At 57.6% G+C, this 23,173-nt stretch overlaps 1 pseudogene, besides 8 other annotated features; it reads left to right on the top strand.

Annotated features, from left to right (window-relative positions):
• Positions 942-1,031: a silencer, noted in NCBI's record as "silent region_13113". NCBI's record gives its function as "represses an Ori minimal core promoter by ATAC-STARR-seq in GM12878 lymphoblastoid cells {active_cell/tissue: GM12878}" and the evidence as "EXISTENCE:reporter gene assay evidence [ECO:0000049][PMID:35858748]".
• Positions 1,222-1,351: an enhancer, noted in NCBI's record as "active region_18205". NCBI's record gives its function as "activates an Ori minimal core promoter by ATAC-STARR-seq in GM12878 lymphoblastoid cells {active_cell/tissue: GM12878}" and the evidence as "EXISTENCE:reporter gene assay evidence [ECO:0000049][PMID:35858748]".
• On the top strand, positions 1,785-2,499 carry RPL7P3 (ribosomal protein L7 pseudogene 3; annotated as a pseudogene).
• Positions 4,818-5,319: an enhancer, noted in NCBI's record as "H3K4me1 hESC enhancer chr20:61172911-61173412 (GRCh37/hg19 assembly coordinates)". NCBI's record gives its function as "activates a minimal SCP1, AML or CMV promoter by ChIP-STARR-seq in primed H9 embryonic stem cells {active_cell/tissue: H9 hESC(primed)}" and the evidence as "EXISTENCE:reporter gene assay evidence [ECO:0000049][PMID:30033119]".
• Positions 5,320-5,819: an enhancer, noted in NCBI's record as "H3K4me1 hESC enhancer chr20:61173413-61173912 (GRCh37/hg19 assembly coordinates)". NCBI's record gives its function as "activates a minimal SCP1, AML or CMV promoter by ChIP-STARR-seq in primed H9 embryonic stem cells {active_cell/tissue: H9 hESC(primed)}" and the evidence as "EXISTENCE:reporter gene assay evidence [ECO:0000049][PMID:30033119]".
• Positions 7,264-8,215: an enhancer, noted in NCBI's record as "H3K27ac-H3K4me1 hESC enhancer chr20:61175357-61176308 (GRCh37/hg19 assembly coordinates)". NCBI's record gives its function as "activates a minimal SCP1, AML or CMV promoter by ChIP-STARR-seq in primed H9 embryonic stem cells {active_cell/tissue: H9 hESC(primed)}" and the evidence as "EXISTENCE:reporter gene assay evidence [ECO:0000049][PMID:30033119]".
• Positions 17,944-18,451: an enhancer, noted in NCBI's record as "H3K4me1 hESC enhancer chr20:61186037-61186544 (GRCh37/hg19 assembly coordinates)". NCBI's record gives its function as "activates a minimal SCP1, AML or CMV promoter by ChIP-STARR-seq in naive H9 embryonic stem cells {active_cell/tissue: H9 hESC(naive)}" and the evidence as "EXISTENCE:reporter gene assay evidence [ECO:0000049][PMID:30033119]".
• Positions 20,883-21,383: an enhancer, noted in NCBI's record as "H3K4me1 hESC enhancer chr20:61188976-61189476 (GRCh37/hg19 assembly coordinates)". NCBI's record gives its function as "activates a minimal SCP1, AML or CMV promoter by ChIP-STARR-seq in naive H9 embryonic stem cells {active_cell/tissue: H9 hESC(naive)}" and the evidence as "EXISTENCE:reporter gene assay evidence [ECO:0000049][PMID:30033119]".
• Positions 21,384-21,884: an enhancer, noted in NCBI's record as "H3K4me1 hESC enhancer chr20:61189477-61189977 (GRCh37/hg19 assembly coordinates)". NCBI's record gives its function as "activates a minimal SCP1, AML or CMV promoter by ChIP-STARR-seq in naive H9 embryonic stem cells {active_cell/tissue: H9 hESC(naive)}" and the evidence as "EXISTENCE:reporter gene assay evidence [ECO:0000049][PMID:30033119]".

The raw sequence follows: 23,173 nt of genomic DNA on the forward strand, positions 1-23,173 counted from the left end.
TGCTTCTCCTCGTCAGTGCGCCTCTGGCTCAGTCCAATGCCAAGCACTTACAGCTGGGGAAACACACACAAGCACATACACACCCCATACACTGGCACAGGCTCACATGTGCACACACCCACACATGTGCAAACACACACACGTGCAAACACACACACAGAGGCACATGCACATTCTCACACAGGCACACACAATGCACACATGCACGATGCACACACAGGCACACACGTGCACACCCAGACACATGCTTACACATGCACTTACCTGCACATTCCCACACACGGACATGCAGGCACACCCCTCCACACACACATAAACGCACATGTATGCACAGCTTCTCACAGATACACAAAGCAATGCAGGTACTCATGTATGTATACATGAGTACACATGCATGCACACAGGCACACACATGTGCACAAACATATATATGCACACACCCACACATGCACAACACACACACATAGGCACACATGTGCACACACTCACATGCACACACGCTCCCATCCCCCCACCACACAATCACACAGACGCCTAATGCCTCGCAGCAGGTGAGACCACCCATCAGTAGGATTAGGGGCCAACAGAGGGTTCCGGCAGCAGACGCAGGCAGTTTGGAGAAGGGGCTGGGTGTGAGCTAAGGCAGACAGGGGAGGCTGAGTGAGGGAGGAGGTTGGGTCCCTGAGGTGGGGGAGGGGGATGGGTGGGAGGTGGCTGAGGGAGCTTCCCTGAGAAGCTCAGAATGAGGCAGTCACATGGGGGGTTGTTTGGGCTTTCCCAGGTGAACCCTGTGCTTCCCCCTTCCCTTCCCTCTCCCTCTGTGTTCCCCTCCCCAAAGCTATGGCCCCTCACCACCCCTCTGCCCTGGCACCTCAATGAGACCCTGTGGAAGTTCCTGTAGACAGGAAGTGGGATGGGACCTGTGGGGAGGTGGGGCCTGTGGGGAGGTGGGGCCTGTGAGAAGGCGGGGCCTGTGGGAAGGCGGGGTCTGTGGGAAGGCGGGGTCTGTGGGAAGGTGGGGTCTGTGGGGAGGCGGGGCCTGTGAGAAGGTGGGGCCTGTGGGAAAGTGGGGCCTGTGGGAAGGCGGGGTCTGTGGGGAGGCAGGGCCTGTGGGAAAGTGGGGCCTGTGGGGAGGCAGGGAGCCACGACAGCCTGCCAGCTTTGCCTAACTTTTTATAACAGCTTGATTTTAAAAATGTTTCAAGTCTGTTTCAGTCTGTAGGTCCCTCCTGTTGCTCTCTCTTTTTTTTTTTATAATGTGTCTGCTGAAGGACCAGGTCGTTTGGCCTGGGGTGTGTCATGCATCAGGATTGCTGGTGGCGCCCTCTTGGTGCAGTTCTGCCTGTTCCTCTGTCCTCTGAGCTTCCTGTGTGCTGGTGGCTGGACCCGGAGACTCCTCCCACTCAGGCTGCATCCCTGCAGCAGGAACCCAGGTTCTGTTTTGTCCCCCCATCAGGAGGACACAGGTCAGGGCTGTGCACTCCTGGAATGGTGGCCAGGCTTGCTCTGTGCCTCAAGCCACTAATCCATCAAGGTTGCAAGACGGTGATGTCCTGAGTCTGGAAGTTCTTTTTCACTTATTTGTCGGGATACCTTTATGGAAACTCTTCTCCTCCACGCAGTCTCATCCCCAGTGCCACTGTCCAGAGGAAGCAGGATAAAGGCACAAATCTTCTCCTGCAGCCGCCGCTTTTCAGGAAAATGCACCAGGTCCCCGAAGCCCTCCTGAGGATTGGCTTGCTCGATACCACTGTGCGCGCAGGCCCCTTTCCAGCAGGAACTGTGGACGGCATCGAAGGGAAGAGAAGGTTCCTGCTGCACCAGAAGCCCCTTATGGAGCAGTGAAGGATTTCACAGAACTAAAGATCAGGTGCCTGAGACAGGAGTTTTTAAAAAGATGCTTTGAAAGCCAAGGGGGAAGCTGAGTTATGAGAAAGCTTTGCACCACCGCAAGGAATACAGAGCCCAGAGCTGGGATCCGAGTCACTGTGGCACTGGGACAGAGGCACTTCGTCGTACGCACCTGGGAGCCCAGACTGGCCTGGCCATTGGCAGCAGGGGGTCCCCGGTGTGGGCTTGCAGCTTGTTCACCTTTACTGTGTCTTCAGGGGCACATCTGTCCATCTCAGCAAGGCTTCAGTGAACGTGCCTTCAGGACGTGGAAGCAGACACCGCACTGTGTCGGGGGCCTGAACACGAAGTCGGTAGAGGAGCAGGTCTCCAGGCACGGCTCCGGCAACACCAACAGGAAGCGGGCCACCTTGGAGAGCGCTCTTCCACTGCTGGAGTTCCTGGTCAATACGGCATCGTCTGCGTGGAGGGTCTGATGCATGAGATCTACGCTGCTGGAAAACACTTCAAAGAAGCAGACTACCTCCTGTGGGCTGAAGTTCTCTTCTCCACCAGGTGAAATGAAGAAAAAGCCCACTCGTTTTGTAGAAGGTAGGGGTGCTGGCAGCCAGGAAGACCAGACCAGCAGGCTTTCTAGCAGAATGAACTCAGGTCTACATCATTATTTTTGTAATCTGGTAAGTTAATAAATGGTGACTGCCTTTGAATTTAAAAGAAATATGTATCATTATGGATTCATGAACCGAAACGTGTTTGGTAGGTCTCAGTCCACTGCAATTATTATCATCTTTGCAGCTCAGATCGTCCTGTCTCTGGCCAGGTGTGTCTCATCGGGTGGACCCCACGTCCTGCGTGCTCTCTCAGGGTCAGCTTGGTTGTCATATAATTTACATACAAAAAAAATGCACAGATTTTAAGTGTGAAGTTTGTAGAGTTTTAACAAATGTTGAGTTTTACACTCATGCAACCACCATCACAACCAAGATCTGGAAGATTCCATCAGTTCAAAAACTTCCCTCATATACCTTGGCAGTCATCCCCTTCCTCTGTCCCAGCAATCATGGACTAGCCAGCATGGATCAGATCTGTTTCAGCTGGAACTTTCTAAATGGAATCATGCAGTGTGTGGGCTGTGTGCCTGGCCTCTTTCAACATCATTTTAAGACTCTTCTGCGCTGTTGTGTGTTTCCATAGGTTTTGTTCCTTTTCTTTGCTGAGAAGGGCTCCATTCTATGACGACACCATTGGCCTGCTGATGGGCATTCGAGAGTCTCAGCCTCCACAGGGTGCAGAGGGCAGAGGCAGGGCTGCAGGAGCCACATGGGGCTGGTTGCTGTCACTCCTGCCATGCTGGGTTGGCTGGGGATAGAAACTCAACTCAGAAGATGAATCAACTTGCTTATGTGGCCAAGAGGTCTGAAAATAGGGCTGGATCCAGAACCCAAACCATGTCATCAGAAATCTTTCTCCATAGCTCAGCTCCACTTTCCTTGGGGCTAGCTTCACTCCTGGCAGGCTGTCTGCAGGCGGAGCAAAATGGACACTGAGATTTCAGGCTTATATATCTAATCGGTGGGACAGAGAGGGAGGAGAGAGGGAGAGAGAGAGAGAGAGGTGGAGGGGGAGAGAAAGATGCAGAGAGAGACAGAGAGAAAGAGACAGAGAGTGAGAGACGCACAGACAGAAAGAGACAGAGTGAGAGAAAGAGACAGAGAGGAGGGAAAGAGACAAAGAGAAAGAGAGAGACAGAGGGAAAAAGACACCAAAAGAGCAAGCACGAGAGAGATTCATTTCAAGAAACCCAGCAAAGGTCCCAAGATGGGCACTCGCTGGCCAGGCTTGGGTCACTTGACCACTTGGGGTGGGAGAAAGCCATCCCCTAGAACTACCCAGGCTCCCCGGATTGAAACCAGGGACCTGATAATGAAAGGAGGAGGGACGCTGGGCAGGCAGAGTGAGGCCACCCTGCACCGTTGCCTCCACAGTGTGCTGATGCCAGGCCCCGCGTGAGCGTCTGTCACCCACCGTGCACTGCCCTCCCACCTGGTGGGCCGACTCCCGCAGCCCCGCCGTCTCGATACAGTGGTGGGTGGGTGGTGAGCTGCTTTCCTGTGCTCTGACCTTACTTTATTTCTAAGAGTGAAAACAGAAAGACGTGAGTGCCAACGCCAGCGACAGAAAGCAGGCTCTGTGAACAGCGCAGAGGCAAGGCTGGCACTGCCCAAGCTGCCCGGGGGACAGGCACGTGAGGCAGGTATGGCGCTGTGGACTGCAGACTGGGACGTTTGGGGCCACTTTCCTATAGAGGGTGTATCTTTATAGCAGCTGTAATACACGTTTCCTCATTGGAGGAGAAGACACGCTGGGTGACCATCTGTGTGTCAATGTACACAGTCAATTTTGTACATTTTCCAGGATTGCATTGTGGACACAGTGAAAGAGACCCCTGGGAGAAATGCTGCGTTCAGTGGAGACTGAACCCAGGTGGGGGGCTGGGGGGTGCCTCCTGTGACTCGGGGCAGGTGCCTGACTACCTGGGGTGCTTTCCAAGGAAGGTGGGCAGGGGCATGAGGAGGGCCCCTCCAGGGCCTCCGTACCTAAGTGAAGCTTCGTCAATAAGCTTCTCGGGAGATGGCCAGGGGCAATGAGGGAGACAAAGGGAGCTCCAACTCAAAACCTGAGAGAAAAGCAAATGGCGAATGTGATTTCATAAAAATGTTTCACTGACAAATCACAAGGCTTTTCCTGCTATGGGAACCCCATTCCTCAGCTCTCCCCACCGGAAAAGAACCTGGTGGGGCAGGGTGGGGAGACCCAGTCCCACACGGGAATTTCTGGGTGGAGCGTTTCCATATTTTTCACACCAGCAGGTGGACGCAGCAGTGAGTAAATCATCTGCATCTTTTGGACGTGAGGCTGCACGTGGCACTCTGTGGATAATGCATGCACATCTGCTCATCGCTTCTTTTTTGCAAAGTGCGCCTGTCACCCATAAATCCATCACATCCACGGCCAAAGGCTCCTTCAGAACGAGCCAAATTGCAGTTTCAGGTGTTGGGTCTTCTCTCACAGTCTCTCTTGCACGCACACTGGCTTGTGCACACAGGGACCTCCTGACCGGGCCCGGGGCGGTTGTGGATGTGTAGGGTCTTTCAGGAGAGCAAAGCTGACTTGAGGACAGACAGCAAAGCAGTAGCAGCAAAGCCCCGCAGCCCCTCGGAGAGTTCTTTTCATTCCCGGAACCAAGAGTGGGAGGAAATGGCCCCTAGGAAGTGTCTTATTTTCTCATTTGTTAGACGCCGCTGTCAGCCTGGGAGAGCAGGCACTCTCTGTTGTGAATCAGCCCAGTTGGATGAGCTCATGCTGTGGGGGCTGCAGCCCGCCGCCCCTGCACCCACTCCATTAGCTGCAGGGAGGTGAGCTCCGCGAGGGGCGGGCCAGGGCGCCACATCAGATCACTCCCCTTCACGGAACCCAGTCTAAGTGTGGGATGGCCCTGTCATGGCTCACACCAAATAAAACTGAGTCCAGGACAGCGCTGTGAGCCCTCACCACACCCTTAGCTGGAGGCCACAGGTGGCGGGGCTCAGGTCCGAAGCCCTTCAGCAAAGTCCTGGTGTGGGGCCTTGGAGAAGCCACCAATGTCTCAAGCCTGCTCTCACCTCCTCATGGGAGGGTCAGGTGGGGCCATGCAGTTGAAAGACATCAACATTCGCCACCCGCACAAGCGGCCTGGGCAGAGGCTGGCTGCAGGCCCCTAGTCCCCACCTCTGCTCCTTCTCCCAGCCTGGCCTGGGTAGTTGTGGGGCGGGGAGTCTGAGGCAGGGGGTGCCGGAGGAGGCCGTGCCCTTGAGATGCTGGGAGAGTGCTGATCTCCCGCTCCTGGATGTGTGGCCGAGGCCTCCTGAGTGTGCCTGGGTCCCGCCTGCCTGGGGCCACCGTCAGCCTCCCTGATGCTTCGAACACCATAGCTGCCTCTCCTTCCTCGCCGTTCCCTAGAGGAAAGTCCTTCTCACCCTGTGCAAGGAGCTCTTGGTTTGGGAAGAGACTGGACAGGACCCCCAATGACAGCTCAGTCTGGGAAGGCAGCCGATCTTTCTCAGGCCTGGGTACAGGTTTATGTGGGATCCTGGGCACAACATTTACCTTCTGCACCCATGGGAAACCTGCCCAGGAAGCATGGCCCACACCAGGCAGAGTGCACACACCATTTTTATTAAGCAGAGTGGCGAGAGCGCAGTGGCTGTGAGGTCCTTCCAGGACCCCGCTTGTGGACAGCTCCCAGCAGCTGCAGCTCACTCCCAGCCCCAGCTGACTCCCAGACCCTCAGTGAGCCCTGGGCTGGATCAAAGTACAGGGACGATCCTGTGGGTGCACCCCAGCATGGCAAGCTTCCAGGAGACCCTAGACCCCGGCTGGGGGTCAGGAAGGCTCTCGCCTCCGTGCTTCTGAGTCCATAGGAATTGAGTCTCTGGCCACACGAGGACAGAATCAGCTACATCTGAAGAACCTGGAGCTAGAAGATGAGGGCAATTAAGTCATGCGCCTCGGCAAGTTCATTAAAATGTTGACTTGCTAATGGTCCCGGGTGCAATTTGGAATGAGGGTGTTAACATAGAGACTTGGTCTATTCGGGAACTCCCTGGTCTGAAAATGGAGCTGCCAAGCTTCTAATATGCCCTCCACAGACTAGAGCTCCGACACATGAATTATTAATGCCGCATCATATTAATTGTATTGATATGTTAATAATTAACAACAATATGCTAATGATTGCCCTGTGGCTACGTCACTGCTGCTCACACACGTCCTCCCGGGAGGTGGCATTGTCCTGCCTTCGGGGAGCAAGGGACAGCAACTCGCCCAAGGGCAGCTGGAGGGCAGCAGGGCTGGGGCTGGTGCCCGGTCCCTGGGGACTGGGGTGACGTGCAACTCGCCAAAGAAGGTGCCTCCGCCCTGCAGGCCCTGAGCACCCGGTGGCACCTGATGCAGGCCCCGCCCCCACCTGCTGTGTGTGGAGGAGGGAGTACGAGGGCTGGGCCCAGCCAGGCGTCTACCTGAGCAGAGAAGCGGCTATAGACCTTGTGCAGAGGTGTCCCCGCGGTGACAGAGCACAGGACAGCTCTGGGCCGCTAGCAGTGGCAGCCCAGGAAAGGGGCCACGGCTCAGGCTGGTCCTCTTCTCCTGGTGACAGGCCCCGAGCTGTTCTGTGCCCTGGGCTCTGCCTTGGTTTTGTCATCTGCAGAATGGATGCGGCAGCCCCGTCACCTTGCAGGGGAGCTGGGACGGGCAGGCACACAGCACTTGGCAAAAGCAGGCACCCAGAGTAGCTGTTATTATTATTGCCCCCTAAGGGTTTTGCTTAATTTCTTTCCTTGGAAAGTGCTGGAATAAATTCTAGACACTGCTGCGTTCCCAAGCATCGCTCCCGGCCCCAACTCCACAGCCTGAGGGCTGCATTGAGCCAGGCGGATTCAGCACCCCTAGGAAGCCTGGCACTGCACCCGCTGGCTGCAGTCGTCCACGGGGGGTGTCAGCGGGTCTCCAGCTGCAGACCGCACAGTGGAGCTTGGGAGAATTAATTTTTTCTGAGAAACCCGGAAGAATCTCCACCCAACCTGCCCTGAAAAGTCTCTCTAGCACCTCCTCTGGTGTCTGGTGCCCATTAGCACCAAGGGCCTCCCCGGGGGACAGGAGAGCGGGGCAGGTCCACGAGGCGGGTTCAGGCAGCTCAGGCAAGACCGCCACTCCACAGCCTGACCTGCAGCCCCGCCTCCTGCTGGGGCGGGCCATGAGCTTGCTGCACAAGTGAAGGTCTGCAGGGGGTGTCTTTCGGAGCGCACCGTGACAGCCCAGCAGAAGAGGTCCCAGGGGAGTGGCAGGCGTCACGGCCGTGTGGCCCAGAGCCCCCCACATGTGTGAGACTCCACCTCCACGGGGACCCTTCCATGCAGGTCACTGTTATTAGCCCATTGTACAGAGTAGGATATTGAGGCTACGGCAACTTTCGTGACTTCTGAGGTCACGTAGCCATGAAATGGCTAAGCTGGGCTTCAAACTCAGGCAGAAGATTCCAGAACCAGCACACAGCCACCAGGCAGCCAGCCTCCACCTGACAGCCGGAGAGGCTGGACATGGGCCTCTAAGTGCCCTCACCAGCCCAGACCTCTGACCCCCCAGCTCTGCTCCCTTCCCTTCCTTTCTCTTCCTGTCGCTGTCTCTGCTTCCCTCTGTCTCTGTTTCCCTGTCTCTGTCTCTCCCTGTCTCTGTCTCCTTCTGTCTCCTTGTCTCTGTCTCCCTGTGCCTCTGTCCCTGTCTCTCTGTCTATCTCTGTCTATCTCTCTCTCCCTCTGTCCCTGCCTCCCTCTGTCTCTGTCTCTCTGTCTCCGTCTGTCTCTGTCTCCCTCTCCCTCTGTCTCTCTCTGTCTCCCTCTCCCTCTATTGCTGTCTCCCTCTGTCTCTGTCTCCCTCTCCCTCTGTCTCTCTCTGTCTCTGTCTCTTTCTGTCCCTGTCTCCCTCTGTCTCTGTCTCTCTGTCCCTGTCTCCCTCTATCTCCCTCTCCCTCTGTCTCTCTCTCTGTCTCCCTCTGTCTCTGTCTCCCTCTCCTTCTGTCTCTGTCTCTGTCTCCCTTTCCCTCTGTCTCTGTCTCTCTCTGTCTCTGTCTCCCTCTCCCTCTGTCCCTGTCTCCATCTCCCTCTCCCTCTGTCTCTCTCTCTCTGTCTCTGTCCTGTCTCCCTCTGTCTCTGTCTCTCTGTCTCCGTCTGTCTCTGTCTCTCTGTCTCTGTCTGTCTCTGTCTCCATCCCTCTGTCTCTGTCTGTCTCTGTCTCCCTCTCCCTCTGTCTCTGTCTCCCTCTCCCTCTGTCTCTGTCTCTGTCTCTCTCTGTCTCTGTCTCTGTCTCCCTCTCCCTCTGTCCCTGTCTCCCTCTCCCTCTGTCCCTGTCTCCATCTCCCTCTCCCTCTGTCTCTCTCTCTGTCTCTGTCCTGTCTCCCTCTGTCTCTGTCTCTCTGTCTCTGTCTGTCTCTGTCTCTCTGTCTCTGTCTGTCTCTGTCTCCGTCCCTCTGTCTCTGTCTCTGTCTCCCTCTCCCTCTGTCTCTGTCTGTCTCTGTCTCCCTCTCCCTCTGTATCTGTCTCTCTCTGTCTCTGTCTCTGTCTCCCTCTCCCTCTGTCCCTGTCTCCCTCTGTCTCTGTCTCTGTCTCTGTCTCTGTCTCAGCGACTCCCGGGTATTTATTGGGAGGCCCCTGAGCACATGGCCTCAGTCCCTCTCTGGGACATCTGCAGGGCCCTGTCCCCCTTGCACACACGCTGGGACACCCTCGGAGCCCCCGGCTTACTGCACACCCTCATGTCCTCGACCTTCAGGGGCTCTCCTGGGTGGCGTGACTTGGCCCCGAGCTGAGCTGGAGAACAAAAGTCTTTGGAGCTGCTTTTATTCCATTTTGGCAGCTTCCAAGAACTGGGCCTCTCGCCCCTGAGCGCATCTCCCGGGAATCTCGGCAAGACCCTGCAGTGGTGTGGGCCCTGCCAGCCTTTGTCCCATGAGTGAGGTTTGCTGGGGAAAGGAGGGACCATGGAGGACTTGGGCTCATTTAGAGAGGAGAGGCTTGTCCCTGGAGGACACTTTTAACCTCAGCCCTTGGCAGAGATTTCCACGAAATTAAGCCTCAGGCTAATGCTGTCAACATGGGGAGGGGGCTGCTTCTGCCAGGCCCACCCCCATGGGGGGCTTCTGCACAGATCCAGTTCCATGCCAGTCCTGCCACAGTGGGAGGGGCCTTGGGGCAGCATCAGCTCATCCCAGTACCAGCAGAGCCCCTGCCCAGCAACCCTGTGCCTCACTCACGCTGTGTGGGCACCATGGGGCGGTGGGCAGCATGGCTCTGCGCCCCTGAGGCAGCACCTGCCCTTGAGGTTCCACACCTTGTGGGGGTGGGAATATAACAGGCAAATTTGCTGTGGAGCAGGGAGGTGGGAGGGCTCAGGACAAAGAGAGCCATCTGGGGATCCCAGTGACGGGTGGGATCTGGGAGCGGGGAGGCCCTCCAGGAATGGGCAAGGCATGGTAGCAGGGGTGAGAGCAGGGGTGGTACCACCAGGGTTGAGGGTGGCACCCCTGCAGCCTGGCGCCTGGCTGGGCCCCGGCACCCCTGCTGTGCAGGTGACCTCTAGAACATGGGCGGGAAAGGCGCCCTCGCGGGCTGTCCACAGGGGAGGGAGGATGGCGCTCAGCTCCCTGCAGGAGGGAGAGATGGGCCAGTCAACCTGGGGAGCTCTGCACGGGGCTGACAGGGAAGCCTAGTCCCTCCTCAACCCCTGACCCTGAGGCCTGTGGATGCCCAGGCCCAGCTGCCTCCCCCTCACGGGCATGCCCTCCCTGCCTGGACGCATCCCTAGGAGGGAGCTCCTGGGCTGAGGAGGCTCCCTCGGCTGGTGTCCGCAATGACAGTGGGGACCCGGTGAGTAAATCTTGGCACAGCCACACCAGGGACAGCAGTAGCTGCAGCGCTTGCGGAGGGTCTGCGTGCAACCCCTTGGGGTTGCATGCCCCCCACCCCATGCTGGGACTGCATGCACCCCCCCAGCCTGCGCGCACCCCCCCAGGCTTGCATGCTCCCCACCTCATGCTGGACCTGCATGCACCCTCCAGGCTTGCATGCCCCCCACCCCACGCTGGGACTGCATGCACCCCCCCAGCCTGCGCGCACCCCCTGGGCTTGCGTACTCCCCCACCCCACGCCAGGTCCCCCCACCTCACACCGGGCCTGCGTGCATCACCCCCCACCACCACCACCCAGCCTGTGTGCGTCCCCTGAGCCTGCGTGCGCCACCGCCCCCCCGCACCCGGCCTGCGGGCACCCCCCGGGCTTGCATGCCCCCCACCCCATGCCGGGCCTGCGAGCGTCCCCTGGGCCTGCGTGCACCCAGAGGCTGTGTGTTACGTGCTGTGGGCGATTCTCTTTAAAGCAGCAACAATTACATGCAAGTTTGAATGAAAACTGCTCTGAAGGCTTCGGAGAAACTGCTGAATGAGGCTATTTGGGGGTGGGGACAGGAGGAGTCAGTAGGTTTAGTTTTATTCCACACTTTTCTTGATGGTGGGAATGTGAAACTAGCTGTGAGGGCTGCTCTTATTTAGAAATTTTGGAAAGAAAGTCTCAGGCGAGGAGGTACAGATCCCAGGTCGGGAGAAATCGGGCCACTCCTCCACGCCCCCCCAGGTCACCCCGGGTTTGCCAGAGCTGCCCCAGGCGGGCCGGCAGGTGGGCAGGCGTGGCCAGGAACCCAGCCCGCGAGGGTGGTGAATGCCCCTTCTCCAGGAGGACGTCACAAGGGCACTGCGGATCCCTCACTCAACTCTTATTTGCTGCACATGTCAAAGCTGTTTAAAAAGAAAGCGCTCAGGACGTTCCCCCGAGTCTGCAGCCGGGGTTGGCCTCCAGCCTAGGTGTGATCTGAAGTTCTGTGATTCAGACCCACAAACCCAGGCTGCCCAGAACGCATTCACCCAGGAACTTGGGCGTGGAGTGAGAGGCAAGCCCCCTGCCCCCGCACTCCGGGGCACACGCCAGTCACTGCCCAGCCCCCAGGCCTCTTAGAGGAGCTCAGCACACAGTCACATGGAGCCTAACAAATTGTAGCCCCCGCCCCGCCCCCGCGCCCCGCCCCCACCTGCACCTTTTGCCGCCCCCGGGCTGGAAGGATCCATCCCATCCCGCGGAAGGGCAGCGGACCCTCGGAGGGACGGAGAGGAAGGAGCCCCGACGGGAGAGACTGTGGGGTGAAAGGCAGTGGAAAGGCAGTGGAAGGCGGTGAAGACGGTGGAAAGGTGGAGAAATCCAGCACTCTGAAGGGCAGCTGGGGAGCCTGGAGAAGGACATATGTGAATTTTGGAACTGCTCATTGTTCCAAGCCATGACCTTGAAGAAGGCAGGGGCCTCTCTGGCCTCTGTGTCCCCATCGCTGAGGACAGGGTGGAACACGAGAGGCTGGGGGGTGGCCTCTGCCTCTGAGCCAGTTCTCAGCTCTTCTCTTCCCTCTGAATTCATGTTGTGTTTCTCAGCCATGAGGGACCCACGGAAACTGGGGCTTGGGAAGCCAGAGATGGCTTTGAGTTTGAGAGAAGGAATTTGCCTGGGTCACATACTGGAAATGGTGCCAGGCCCAGCCCCACCCCCCTGTGCATGTCTGGCTGAGCTTCCTAAGGAGCCAGCCACATCCACATTGCACCAAACCCTGCCACATCCAATCCTGACCGAACAGCCAGTCTACTTGTCAGTGTGGGGGACCAGCCACGTCAGTCAGGGCTCCCCAGAGAAACAGAACCAGTAGGATCCATGTCCACCTCTCTCTGTCTTTATGAATCAATCTATTGATTCTATGTATCCATCCATCCATCTATGTATCTATCCATCTATCCATCTGTCTATCCATCCATCCATCCATCTATTCATCTATCCATCCATCCATCCATCTATGTATCTGTCCATCTATCTATCCATCTATTCATCTATCTATCCATCCATCCATCTATCCAGCTAGCTAGCTAGCTATCCATCTTCTTTCTTTCTTTCTTTCTTTCTTTCTTTCTTTCTTTCTTTCTTTCTTTCTTTCTTTCTTTCTTTCTTCTTTCTTTCTTTCCTCTCTCTCTTTCCTTCTCTTTCTTTCTATCTTTCTTTTCCTTCCTTCCTCTCTTTCTTTCTTTCTTCTTTCTCTCTCTCTCTCTCTTTCTTTCTATCTATCAAGAATAAGAGAGATTGGTTTTAATGAATTGGCTCACATGATTGTGGGGACTGGCAATTGCAGGGCAGGCCAGCTGGCTGGAAGTCCAGGGAAGCTGATGCTGCCATCTGAGTCCAAATTCCGCAGGGCGGCAGGCTGGGAACTCAGCACGGCTTCCACATTGCCATCTTGTGGAGGAGAATCCCGTTTTCTTCCAGAAACCTCGGTCTTTGCTCTCAAGGCCTCAGCTGCTGGGACGAGGCCCACCCCCATGGTGGAGCGTCACTTTCCTACCTCAAAACCTGCTGAGCTAAGTGTTCATCCTGCCAGAAAACACCTGCACAGCAGCACCGAGGCAGGTGTGTGGCCAACAGCTGGGCACCGTGGTGCAGCCGAGTGGACACATAAAGTGACCATCACCCTCGTGGCAATGGGTGCGGGGGTGGGGGGGGATGGTCTTTCAAGTTCCACAGCAAAGAGATTCCAAGGGCCTTATTATTCCCAATAATTAGGACAGATTTTCTGTCCAATTTGGCAAGGAAGCCCAAGACCCAGCATCGTGAGCTTCAGACACGGCAGGAACCCAAGGCTTCGGGAGACCCAGCACCTGCCCCGGCACGCACAGCTCAGGCGCAGCACCTGCCCCAGCGCGCACAGTTCAGCAGAGGTCAGCTCAACCCTGGACTGTCCACACGAGTGTTGGGGCACGATGGGGAACATCTCATGTTGTGCTTCTTGGCCATGAGGGACCCAAGGAAACTGGGGCTTGGAAAGCCGGAGACAGCTTTGAGTTTGAGGGGAGAAGTAACTTGCTGCTTACCTGGTTTGGTGGGTGGTCAGGGAGGACTTCCTGGAGGAAGGAACATGTAAAATGAGGCCCAAATGATGGAAAGGAGCTTTGAGCAGGGGAATTCCTTCCAGGCTGTCCCCAGAACTGCTGGCTGCCTGGGACTTGGGTGCCCTCTGGGGTACAGTGTGTTCTCCCGAACACCAGTGGCTCTTGTGTTCAGGGCAAGCGTGGAGCTGATCCTGGGGGGTGACCCTCGCTTTGCCCTGGGCTAACCCAACAGGGATGTGAACCGGAGCCCCACACTCAAAACCCAACTCACAAGGCAGACATTTAAATTTCACTCATTCAGAGACCCGGGTCAGTCCATTCTTACCAAGCCCCCACCGCGTGCTGGGTCCAGCGTGAGACAGCTCCCGGGGCGCATGGACAGAGAGGCCTTGCCCTCGAGGAGCTCCCCTTCTCATGAGAGGAAGTCACTGTCTCCAGATGACAGGGTGACAAATGCCTCCAACAAAGATGTGTGCTCAGGGAGGTCAGAGGGGAGTGGTCCCTGGGGATCAGGAATGGCCCTGGGAGAGGCGGCTCCTCAGCTGGACCTGGACAGTTGGAGGCGATTAAACCCCAAGATGGGAGGGGACAGAGGAGTGCCAGCTAGGGCCACGGGACCAGACCCACCTTCCCGGAGCACAGGGCTGCGTGAGGTGAGGCATGTCTGGGCCACGGAACAGGGATGACATCCTTCATGCACCCACACACACCCACACACATCCCTCATGTGACACACACACCCACACACATCCCTTATGTGACACACACACATCCCTCACATGACACACACACACATCCCTCATGTGACACACCCACACCCACACATGTCCCTCATGACACACACACACATCCCTCACGTGACACACACACATCCCTCACATAACACACACACACGTTATATGACACACACACCCCTCACGTGACACACACACGTTATATGACACACACACCCCTCACGTGACACACACATCCCTCACGTGACACATACACATCCCTCATGTGACACACACATCCCTCACATAACACACACACACCCCTCACATAACACACACACACGTTATATGACACACACACATCCCTCACATAACACACACACACATCCCTCACGTGACACACACTTTATATGACACACACACATCCCTCACGTGACACACACACCCACACACGTCCCTCACATGACACACACACACATCCCCCACGCGTGCACACACACACACACACTCTGCGGGTGGCTGCTCACCCGCCCTGACATGGGGACTGTCTCTCCGGTGAGAACCGGCTGCAGGAGGGTTTGGTGCAGTGTGGATGTGGCCACTGCTCCTCAGGAAGCTCAGCCGGACACGCGCGGGGGGACGGGGCTAGGCCTGGCTTCATTTCCAGCATGTGACCCTGGCAAGCTGCTGCTCCTCTCGGGACCTCATTTTTCTCCTCTATGGAATAGGGACGGCAGAGCCAGTGTGGTGCACTGAGCCCTGGAGCGCCGCTCTGCAAAGGCACGTTCCACTGACACCCGCCTGGTCAAGCTCAGACCCAGGCAGAGAGGTGGCCGAGCCTCGCAGGGCCCCGGGTCCGACCCACCCCCGGGTCTGGCAGCTTTGCAGAAGGGCCTCTTTCAGGAAAGCAATTCACACACAATTCACAGTTGCAGCCTGCATGTCCTGTGTTGCTGTGGGCTCTGGAACTACGAGTGAGGACACCTTGAATCCCCTGTGCTTCCAGGATGTCACGTCTGTGTTCCTGGGACGGAGTGTGGAAACTGACTTTGGTAACTTCACGCTGCTTAGATGCACGGTGGGATCAGCTGCTGAGAGCAAATCTGATCGCCTCGTAGGTGAGCTCAGAGCTGCTAGGAAGCTCTTCACACCAGGGGCCTCAGGGGCACAGGTTTCGGGCCACGAGCTCACAGGCATTAGCAAAAATAAGGGTTCCTGGCTGGGTGCAGTGGCTCACGCCTGTGATCCCAGCACTTTGAGAGGCCAACACAGGAGGATTGCTTGAGCCCAGGAGTTAGAGACCAGCCTGGGCAACATAGCGAGACACAGTATCTAATTTTTTTTGAGATGGGGTCTCACTGTGTTGCCCAAGCTGTAGTGCAGTGGTGTGATCTCGGCTCACTGCAACCTCCACCTCCTGGGCTCAAGTGATCCTCCCACCTCAGCCTCCCAAGTAGCTGGTACTACAGACACACCACCATGCCTGGCTAATTTTTGTATTTTTTGTAGAGAGTGGGTTTTGCCATGTCGCCTAGGCTGGTCTCAAACCCCTGGGCTCAGGAGATCTACCTGTCTCAGCCTCCCAAAGTGTTGGGATTACAGGCATGAGCCACCGTGTCTAGCCCCAGTATCTAATTATAAAAAAACAAAAAGAAAAAATAAGTAAATAAGGGTTTCTGGTAAATTCTTCCTGGAGACACCTGGTGCCAGTCACACAGCCTCCCGAGCTGGTCACTCAGGCTGTGCACACCTCAGCCCTCAGGACAGCCAGGGAGGCAGCACGTACCCCAGCCCTCAGGACAGCCAGGGAGGCAGCACGTACCCCAGCCCTCAGGACAGCCAGGGAGGCAGCACGTACCCCAGCCCTCAGGACAGCCAGGGAGGCAGCCTGCACGGCTCTGCCCAGACGGCTCTTGGAGCATCTGGTGGGGCCAAGTGTTCTGGGGACACGTGCTCTGGAAAGATCTGCTTCAGCCAGACTTTCACACAGGACAGCTGGGGTTGACCCTGGCCGGTGCAGCCAGCAACACCTGTGAGGCCAGAGGGCAGAGGCAGGGATTCTCCCAACAGAAAATCAGGTGTGACATCATCTCCAAAGCTGATCCCGAGTCTGGGCCCCAAGCCTGCTGTAAGTGGGGAACGCTGGTGTCTTCCTTCAAGGTCCCCAAAGAAGCAGACCCTGGGAGAGGGTTTGGGGCACAGGGTTTATGCGGGAGGTGATTCCAGCAAGCAGGGTGCGTGGTGGGGAGGTGAGACTGGGAGGCAGGGAAGGGGTAGCGTGAGTGAGGGGCAGGTGGCCACTTTGAACAACCGCAGCTTCATTTTCCTTGCATGAGCCATGCAAGAGGGTCATTTTCCTGAGGACCCTCTTGTAAAACAGATCCCTGGAGGCCCGGCTCTTCCCTCCTTTCTTGCTTGTAGTTCTCAAGAATAACTGGAATATGCTGGATGCACAAGCCCCTGAGATAAAGAGGAGCATGTGGAGCACCCGGGGCTCTGCTCCAGCCCCTCCTAGAGCGGAATGTCCTAGAACGCTGCAGCCCAGCGAGCCACGTTTCCTGAGTGTAAGATCAGAGTGGGCCGCTTTGGGGTTCATCAGCTGCGGGGCAGCATGGGCACAGGCAGACAAGGCCCGGGGGAGGGAAGGTGACAGAGAGCAAGTTAGGGAGCCGGTGACCACTTGGGGACCAGAGCTCAGATCCAGAGGGACCCCCTGGGTGTTGAGAACCCTGGGAATTAGTGTGCCAACTCCTGCCCCTCTTGGTGGGGGTCTCTCCAGGGCGAGTGAAGTCCTAACACTTAGCCAGCCCCACACACCACACACTCACACCCAGAGATGTCCTCGGGTGGGGGGCGCAGGCACTGAGGAGGCCTGTGGGGTGCCGGGGTGGGGACCCCGTCTCTGCCGCAGGTATCTGCAGCTCTGCCACCAGGCTCTTTCAGCACCAAGGAGAGCAGCTGAGGGGCTCCTGTGTTCCTGGGGGCCCGTGTGCTCTCTGGACCTGCAGCTGGTCCCATTCTGGGGTCCGTGCCTGTTCCCGGAAGCACGGATCCCAGGCAGGCAGTGGGCTGGCCTGGCCTGGTTCTGGGAATCACTTTGAAGGCAGTGTTTTATGCCACTTGCCTGCCAAGGCAGAGAGTGCTGCGGCCATGGAGGTGACAGCTTCCCGGGCGGCGACTGACGTGGGGAGGCTTTGCTGATTCATTCTGGGCATGAATAACCAATTTCCTCAAAGCTGCCGGGGTTTGTGAATCAGGGTTCCCAATAAGAATGAACAAATCAAATCCATCTTCTGGGGCCTTTCATGGGACACTCTCAGCTCCCCAGTGCGTCGTGGGGTTTATAGCATGGCAGTCACTGGAGTGAGCTTGCTTAGAGATCAGCGCCCGGCCCTCTGGAGCTGGGAAGTACAACCTGCTGCAGTGCCCACACCTGTGTGGCCACCAGGCTGTCTCCAGACCCCGGCTCAGGCAGCTCCAACACTCGCCAAACCCTTCAAACCCCAGCCCTCTGCTGGGGTATCTTGGTGGGTGCTGGACAAGCCCCGTGTTCAGATGGGGCTGAGTCCCTGTGACTTTGAGTCCCTCTGACCACTAATGGGGAGAGAAATGTGTGGACAGCCGATGCCAGCCATAAAATCCCCGTGAGAATTACTCAGCCTGTGGGAAAATGGCCAGTAGCCGGGGGCCATCTGAGGGCAGGAGAAGGCTCCAAATCAGGAAAATCTGCCACATAATTGAGTGCCTGGGGCGGCTGGTGAGGCGTGGACAGGGCTAGGAGCTGAGCCCCACCACAGCACCTGCCCACCCCTGGCCTGTGCAGCAGCTATGGCTGGTGATCCCGGACCTCTGTCTAGGCATCAGACACAGGACCCACCCTGGCCCTAAGTTCCTCCACTGCAGCCCCTGGAGCTGCCTCCCAGGAGAGGCCCAGTGCCGGGGAGGCCTAGAGGCTGCAGCGTCTCCTCTCCACCTGGCTTTCCTCTCAGCTGCTCTGTTTAAGGAAACCCTGACTCACAGGCCAGAGGAAGATCGCCCGGCAGAGCTCTCAGCTCCCCAGGGCTTCCAAATGAAGTTTCTTTTAATAAAACCTTGGTGATCAGACAGGAGGCCCAGAGGTATCTGTGTGAGGTGGAGAGGGTCAGAGGCTATGGTAGGGGTGAGGGCTCAGGCAGCTGGCCCTGAAGCTGCAGCTCTCCCTCTGGGAGTGCAGTGGTCCCGACCTCACAGGCTCAGCCTCAGCCTCAGCGGGGTGTTCCAAGTCGGCCTGGAGTCCCCTCCCCAGCACTTCCACCAGTGAGCTCCTGCCACCTGAGGCGCACTGGGGAGAGGCCAGCTCCTCCCATAAGCTTCCCAGCACCCACAGCGAATGTCTGCCCAGCAGGGCAAGGGCACGAGGGGGCAGGCACACTGTCTTCCCCGAGGCCTGGAGCTGGGAGCCCAGAGGTATGCCCTGGGTGGGCGGCCTTTCTCCTTTACTCGCTTTTTTTCCAAGCCAGCCTGAACTTAAGGGGGGCGGTGCACTGCCAGCTGAAGTTTGAGGGCCTGGCCTGGGGAGGTCCGGGGGGAGACATCTTATGCTTTACCAGCAGGAACTGGGTTAGGACAGGGCTGGCACAGACCTGGGGATGTACGGGCCCTTCTCTCGACAGGAACTGGCATCAAAGATTTAGGGGGGACCCTAATACAGGGGAGAGGGTCCCTGGCTGAACAAGCCAGGAAGCGGCAAGCGAAGACAAGCCAAAAACCATGTTTGGGAGCAACGAGGCGGACCCCGGCCTGCGGCACTGCGAGTCCTGATCTTCTGGGCCTGCACACGTGGGTATGTGGGAGTGTGGTCGTGCACAAGAGTCAGAAGGCAGTGGAAGCTGTGTTGGGTGTAAAGTACTGCACATGTGACACAGTTGTACACAGATGCACACACACGTGCACACAAGCGCATGCATACACAAACAGAAATGTGTTTGTACACATCTCACACCCATATGCATACGCCTGTGAACACATGCAGACAAGCATGCACGCTTCCAGGTCCAATGCAAACCCACTTGCACAAACACACACACGTACACACAAAGCCCAAAGCAAAGCTGGCCCCTGGGAAGCACTTTTTGGGAAAGCAAAGCAAAAGTGTCAGCAGCTGGAGCCTGGTGAGTCTTGGAGCACACCCCACCTCCCCCAGTTTCATGCCACTGACGACAGGGTTTGGGTATCAGCATGGTGACTGGTTGGGGTCTGTGTTTGCAAACACTGTGCCAAGCACTGCTGGACACAGCGCATGTGCCACGGAGCTCTGGCCCCAGAGCCAGCAGGCAGCGGGCATGAGGACTCCAGTCAGAGAGAGGGGCTGCGGGAGAGGGAGGGTCCCGGCTGGCTGTGGCAGCCACGGGAGAGGCAGCCACATGGTTCCATTAGCAGCCATCTCCAAGCTGGAGCCAGAGATGACTAAGGGAGTGCGGAGGGATGGGACGCGGTCCAGGAGAGCCTCACCCAGCCTCCTCCGGCAGGGCCTGCCCTAGTAATGCCCGGTGAATAATTCAGCAGAGGCCAACCCAGACAGGAAGTGAGCAGGGCGGGCTTCAGGCCAGGCAAAGGGCAGGCAGGACATAGGTAGGCGGAGTGGCCGCCTCTGCTTGATGGATTTGGGGAGAGCCGTGGAAACCAGGACCTGGGGGCCCAGGGACTTGCTGAGGGTCCCCCAATGAGAGGAGGGACCTGCTGACCCCCTGCTGACCGCATGCCCTCACTTTTCCCTGCACGCACTGGCCCTGCCTCCTGATCCTGCGGGTGCCCTGCCTGGCACTCCCAGGCCCTTGTGGGGCTGAGTGTGGTGGCTGCATGTGGAGGGGTGACGTCTCCCCACCCAGGAGCTCAGGGCAGGACCCTCATTCTGGTTCCCTGAGCAGCAGCCCGGGGTGTCAGCAAAGTGTGGGGCATGGACCCCGTCCCCTCTTCCCCTGCATGCTGGGGTTCCCATGTCCCCAAGTGCATTGCACACTGGCAGCCAGACCCACGTGGCTGTCTTTCCTGCACCGCGTGCATCAGAGCTCTGGGCTGTGACCACTCTGAAGGTGGCTGTCCTTAGATACTGAAGACCCCTGAAGAGGCCGCCCCACCCCCTTCTGACCTGCTGTCCCATCCTTTACCCTCCAAGGGCATTTCTCAAACTCAACTGCACACAGAACCCCGAGGCGCACGTGCTCGAGGCCCCCGCTGGGATCTAGGTTCTGCAGGACTGGTGGCATTCGGCATTTGAAGCAAGGTCCGGTGCAGGAGGGCAGCCCACAGCCCTGCCACTCAGAAAAGCTGGGGAAGCTCCCTGCGGATGTTGGGAAGCTGGGCAGAGAGGCCACACGGGGGCTGGGGGGAAGCGCTGGGAGAGGTGAGGGGGAGCTACAGGGAGAGCCCAACTCCACTTCAGCCCCCACCGTCACTGTCTTGATGGGGCTCAGGTGGACATGAGGAGGGCTCTGTGCTATGACCTTGGTGCATCCTGGGGCCCTCAGAGGAAGCCCACAGAGGCACCTGCACCAGCCCCAGGCCCCCACCAGAGCTGAGCCCCAGTGGAAGCGGCTCCATCACAGGGGCCATGCACATGGCAGAGAGGGACACACCCCAGGAGGAGCAGCACCCAGCATGGGCACAGTGCTTGTGCATGTGTCCACATATGTGCGTGTGTGCTTGTGTGTCTGCCCGCATGCATATGCACGTGTGTGTGCATTTGCATACGTGTGTGTATGTGTGCATGTCTGCATGTGCGTGTGTGTGTCATGTTGGAGGAGTGGTGTGCCTGTGTGTGTGTGTGTTCACGGTTGTGTGTGTGTATGTTGTGTTGGAAGAGTGGTGTGCATGTGTGTGTGTGTTCACGGTTGTGTGTGTGTGGGTGTGCACGCGTGTGTGGGTGCTGTGTTGGAGGAGTGGTGTTTGTTTCTAAACAGAGCTCTTCCATGGCAGTAAAGGCTGGGAATGCGTGTGGGGGTTACTTCATTCTTCCCTGGCCACAGTGTCTCTATCTGCCTCCCAGGCCTGGCCTCAGGCTTATTGAGGAGATGCCCTCAGGATCCCTCCAAGATCAGCAACACCCCCACCTCTGGAGCCAGGGACCACCACGTCCCCAGGTGCTCTTCAGATGCAGGCATCCCCGTCTGCCCGCTGTGGCCCTGCAGAGAGTGAGCTGGGAGGGCTGACTTCAGGGCTGGGTGGCAGAGAGGCACATTCTGGTGGAGTCCGCAGGCCAGTTGGCAGCTGGGCAGCCCAGCTGGTGCAGACAGCCCCCATGCCTGCCCAGGGCCAGGCATGGACCCCATGGCAGCAGACTCCACCCTGTGAGCAGTCCACAGGCAGCCTGGAGCACAGCCCCTCTGTCTGCTGAGGCTGGGTTCAGACACCCTCAACCCCTCTCAACTGTGTGCTTGGGACTCACCTTGGCCTCCTAGTGTCCCAGTTTCCTCACTAGGATATAGGCAGCCCTGGCCTCTAGGAGGGCTCAGAGAATAGACAGACGAGGCCACTGCCCCCAGGTGGCCCACATTCTAGTGGGAGGTGCCTGGGAGGAGCACGTGGAAATGGTGTCTGGGTTTCATCAGAGAGGATGGGAATGATGGAATAGGGGTGATGGGCACCTGCACAGGGAGGAGGAGCTTTGGACGCACAGGGCTCAAAGCAGATGGGATGGTGGTGCTCCCCAGGGGGAAGGGGAGTGATCCTCCCCAGGGGAATGGGGTTGTGATCCTCCCCAAGGAGAAAGGACACTGGTCCTCGCCATGAGGAAGGGGCATGGATCCTGCTCAGGGGGCAGGGGATGTGGTCACCCACTGGGGCTGGGGAGAGTGAGCCCTCATGGTGCACATGGCAGTGAGTGTGTGCATGCGTGTATGGGTGTGTGTGTGCGTGCATGTATGGGTGTGTGTGGGTGTGCATGCGTGTATGGGTGTGTGTGCGCATGTGTGTATGGGTGTGTGTATGGGTGTGTGTGTGTGCATGCATGTATGGGTGTGTGCATGCATGTATGGGTTGTGTGCATGCGTGTGTGTGCATGTGTGAGTGTGTGTATGCATGTGTGTGCATGCATGTATGGGTGTGTGTGCATGTGTGTGTGTGCATGCATGGGTGTGTGTGCGTGCATGTGTGTGTGTGTGCATGCATGTATGGGGGTGTGTGTGTGCATGCGTGTGTGAGTGTGTGCCCGCCTTTCAGCCGTGTTCTCAAAACTGTGGATCTGCTCAGCCCTGAGGGAAGGCTGGGCCATACCCTAAAAATCGATCTTCCCTCTCAAGGTGCCCCTGTGATCCGCTCAGCCTCCTGGGCTCAGGGAGACTTCTCCACCTTTAACCAGAACCAGAATCAGGCCTATCCAATGCGCTGCCTTTCAGGTCGCGGAGCCCACACAGCCTAGAATCCATCCTTCAGATGTCTGTGTTCCTTTGGACTAAGCGGCGGCCCTGCTCTCCAACCCCTTCCATGGTGGTGTTATCTGGGACAGCTTTGTTAGTCACCCTCGGGTCCCACAGGTCCTAGTAGGAGTTTCATGGGCAGGAAATGGCCCTGCTCCTGGTGGGATTGGCTGTCAGGGCCCCAGGGTACCCGAAACCCCCTGACACAGGGGTGGAGACAGGATGGGGGGATCCAGAGAGCAGCACGACCTCTGCTTCCTGAGTTCCCTCCCCTCCCCTCAGATGGTCCAGGCTGGACATCAGTGAGACAGGCAGTGGCTGCCATATTACTCTCACCCCATGGGTGGCATGTAGGGCACCTTTGGGGTTGGGGTAAGACATGACTTTACCTCCAAGATCAGGGGGTGTCCTGCCCTGTCCCCCAACCTGGGGCATCCTTTGGGTGGGAGCCGTCCACCTGGTCTCCTGCCCAGCCTCCCCTTGGCTGCACCAGCTGAGAGCCAGAGGTCCTGGGGGTCCCTACAGTTCAGTATCCAGGTACAAACTGGGAGGGGGCTTTGGGGTGGAGACATCCAGCGTAGGGGTCAAAAAGAGAAAGGTCACAGCTTGGACTTTTGATAAGTTGCCAAACTGCTCTGCAGGCGAGCTATGCTCGTCCC

This window comes from Homo sapiens, chromosome 20 (assembly GCF_000001405.40).
Source record: "Homo sapiens chromosome 20, GRCh38.p14 Primary Assembly".
NCBI classification, from domain to species: domain Eukaryota; kingdom Metazoa; phylum Chordata; class Mammalia; order Primates; family Hominidae; genus Homo; species Homo sapiens.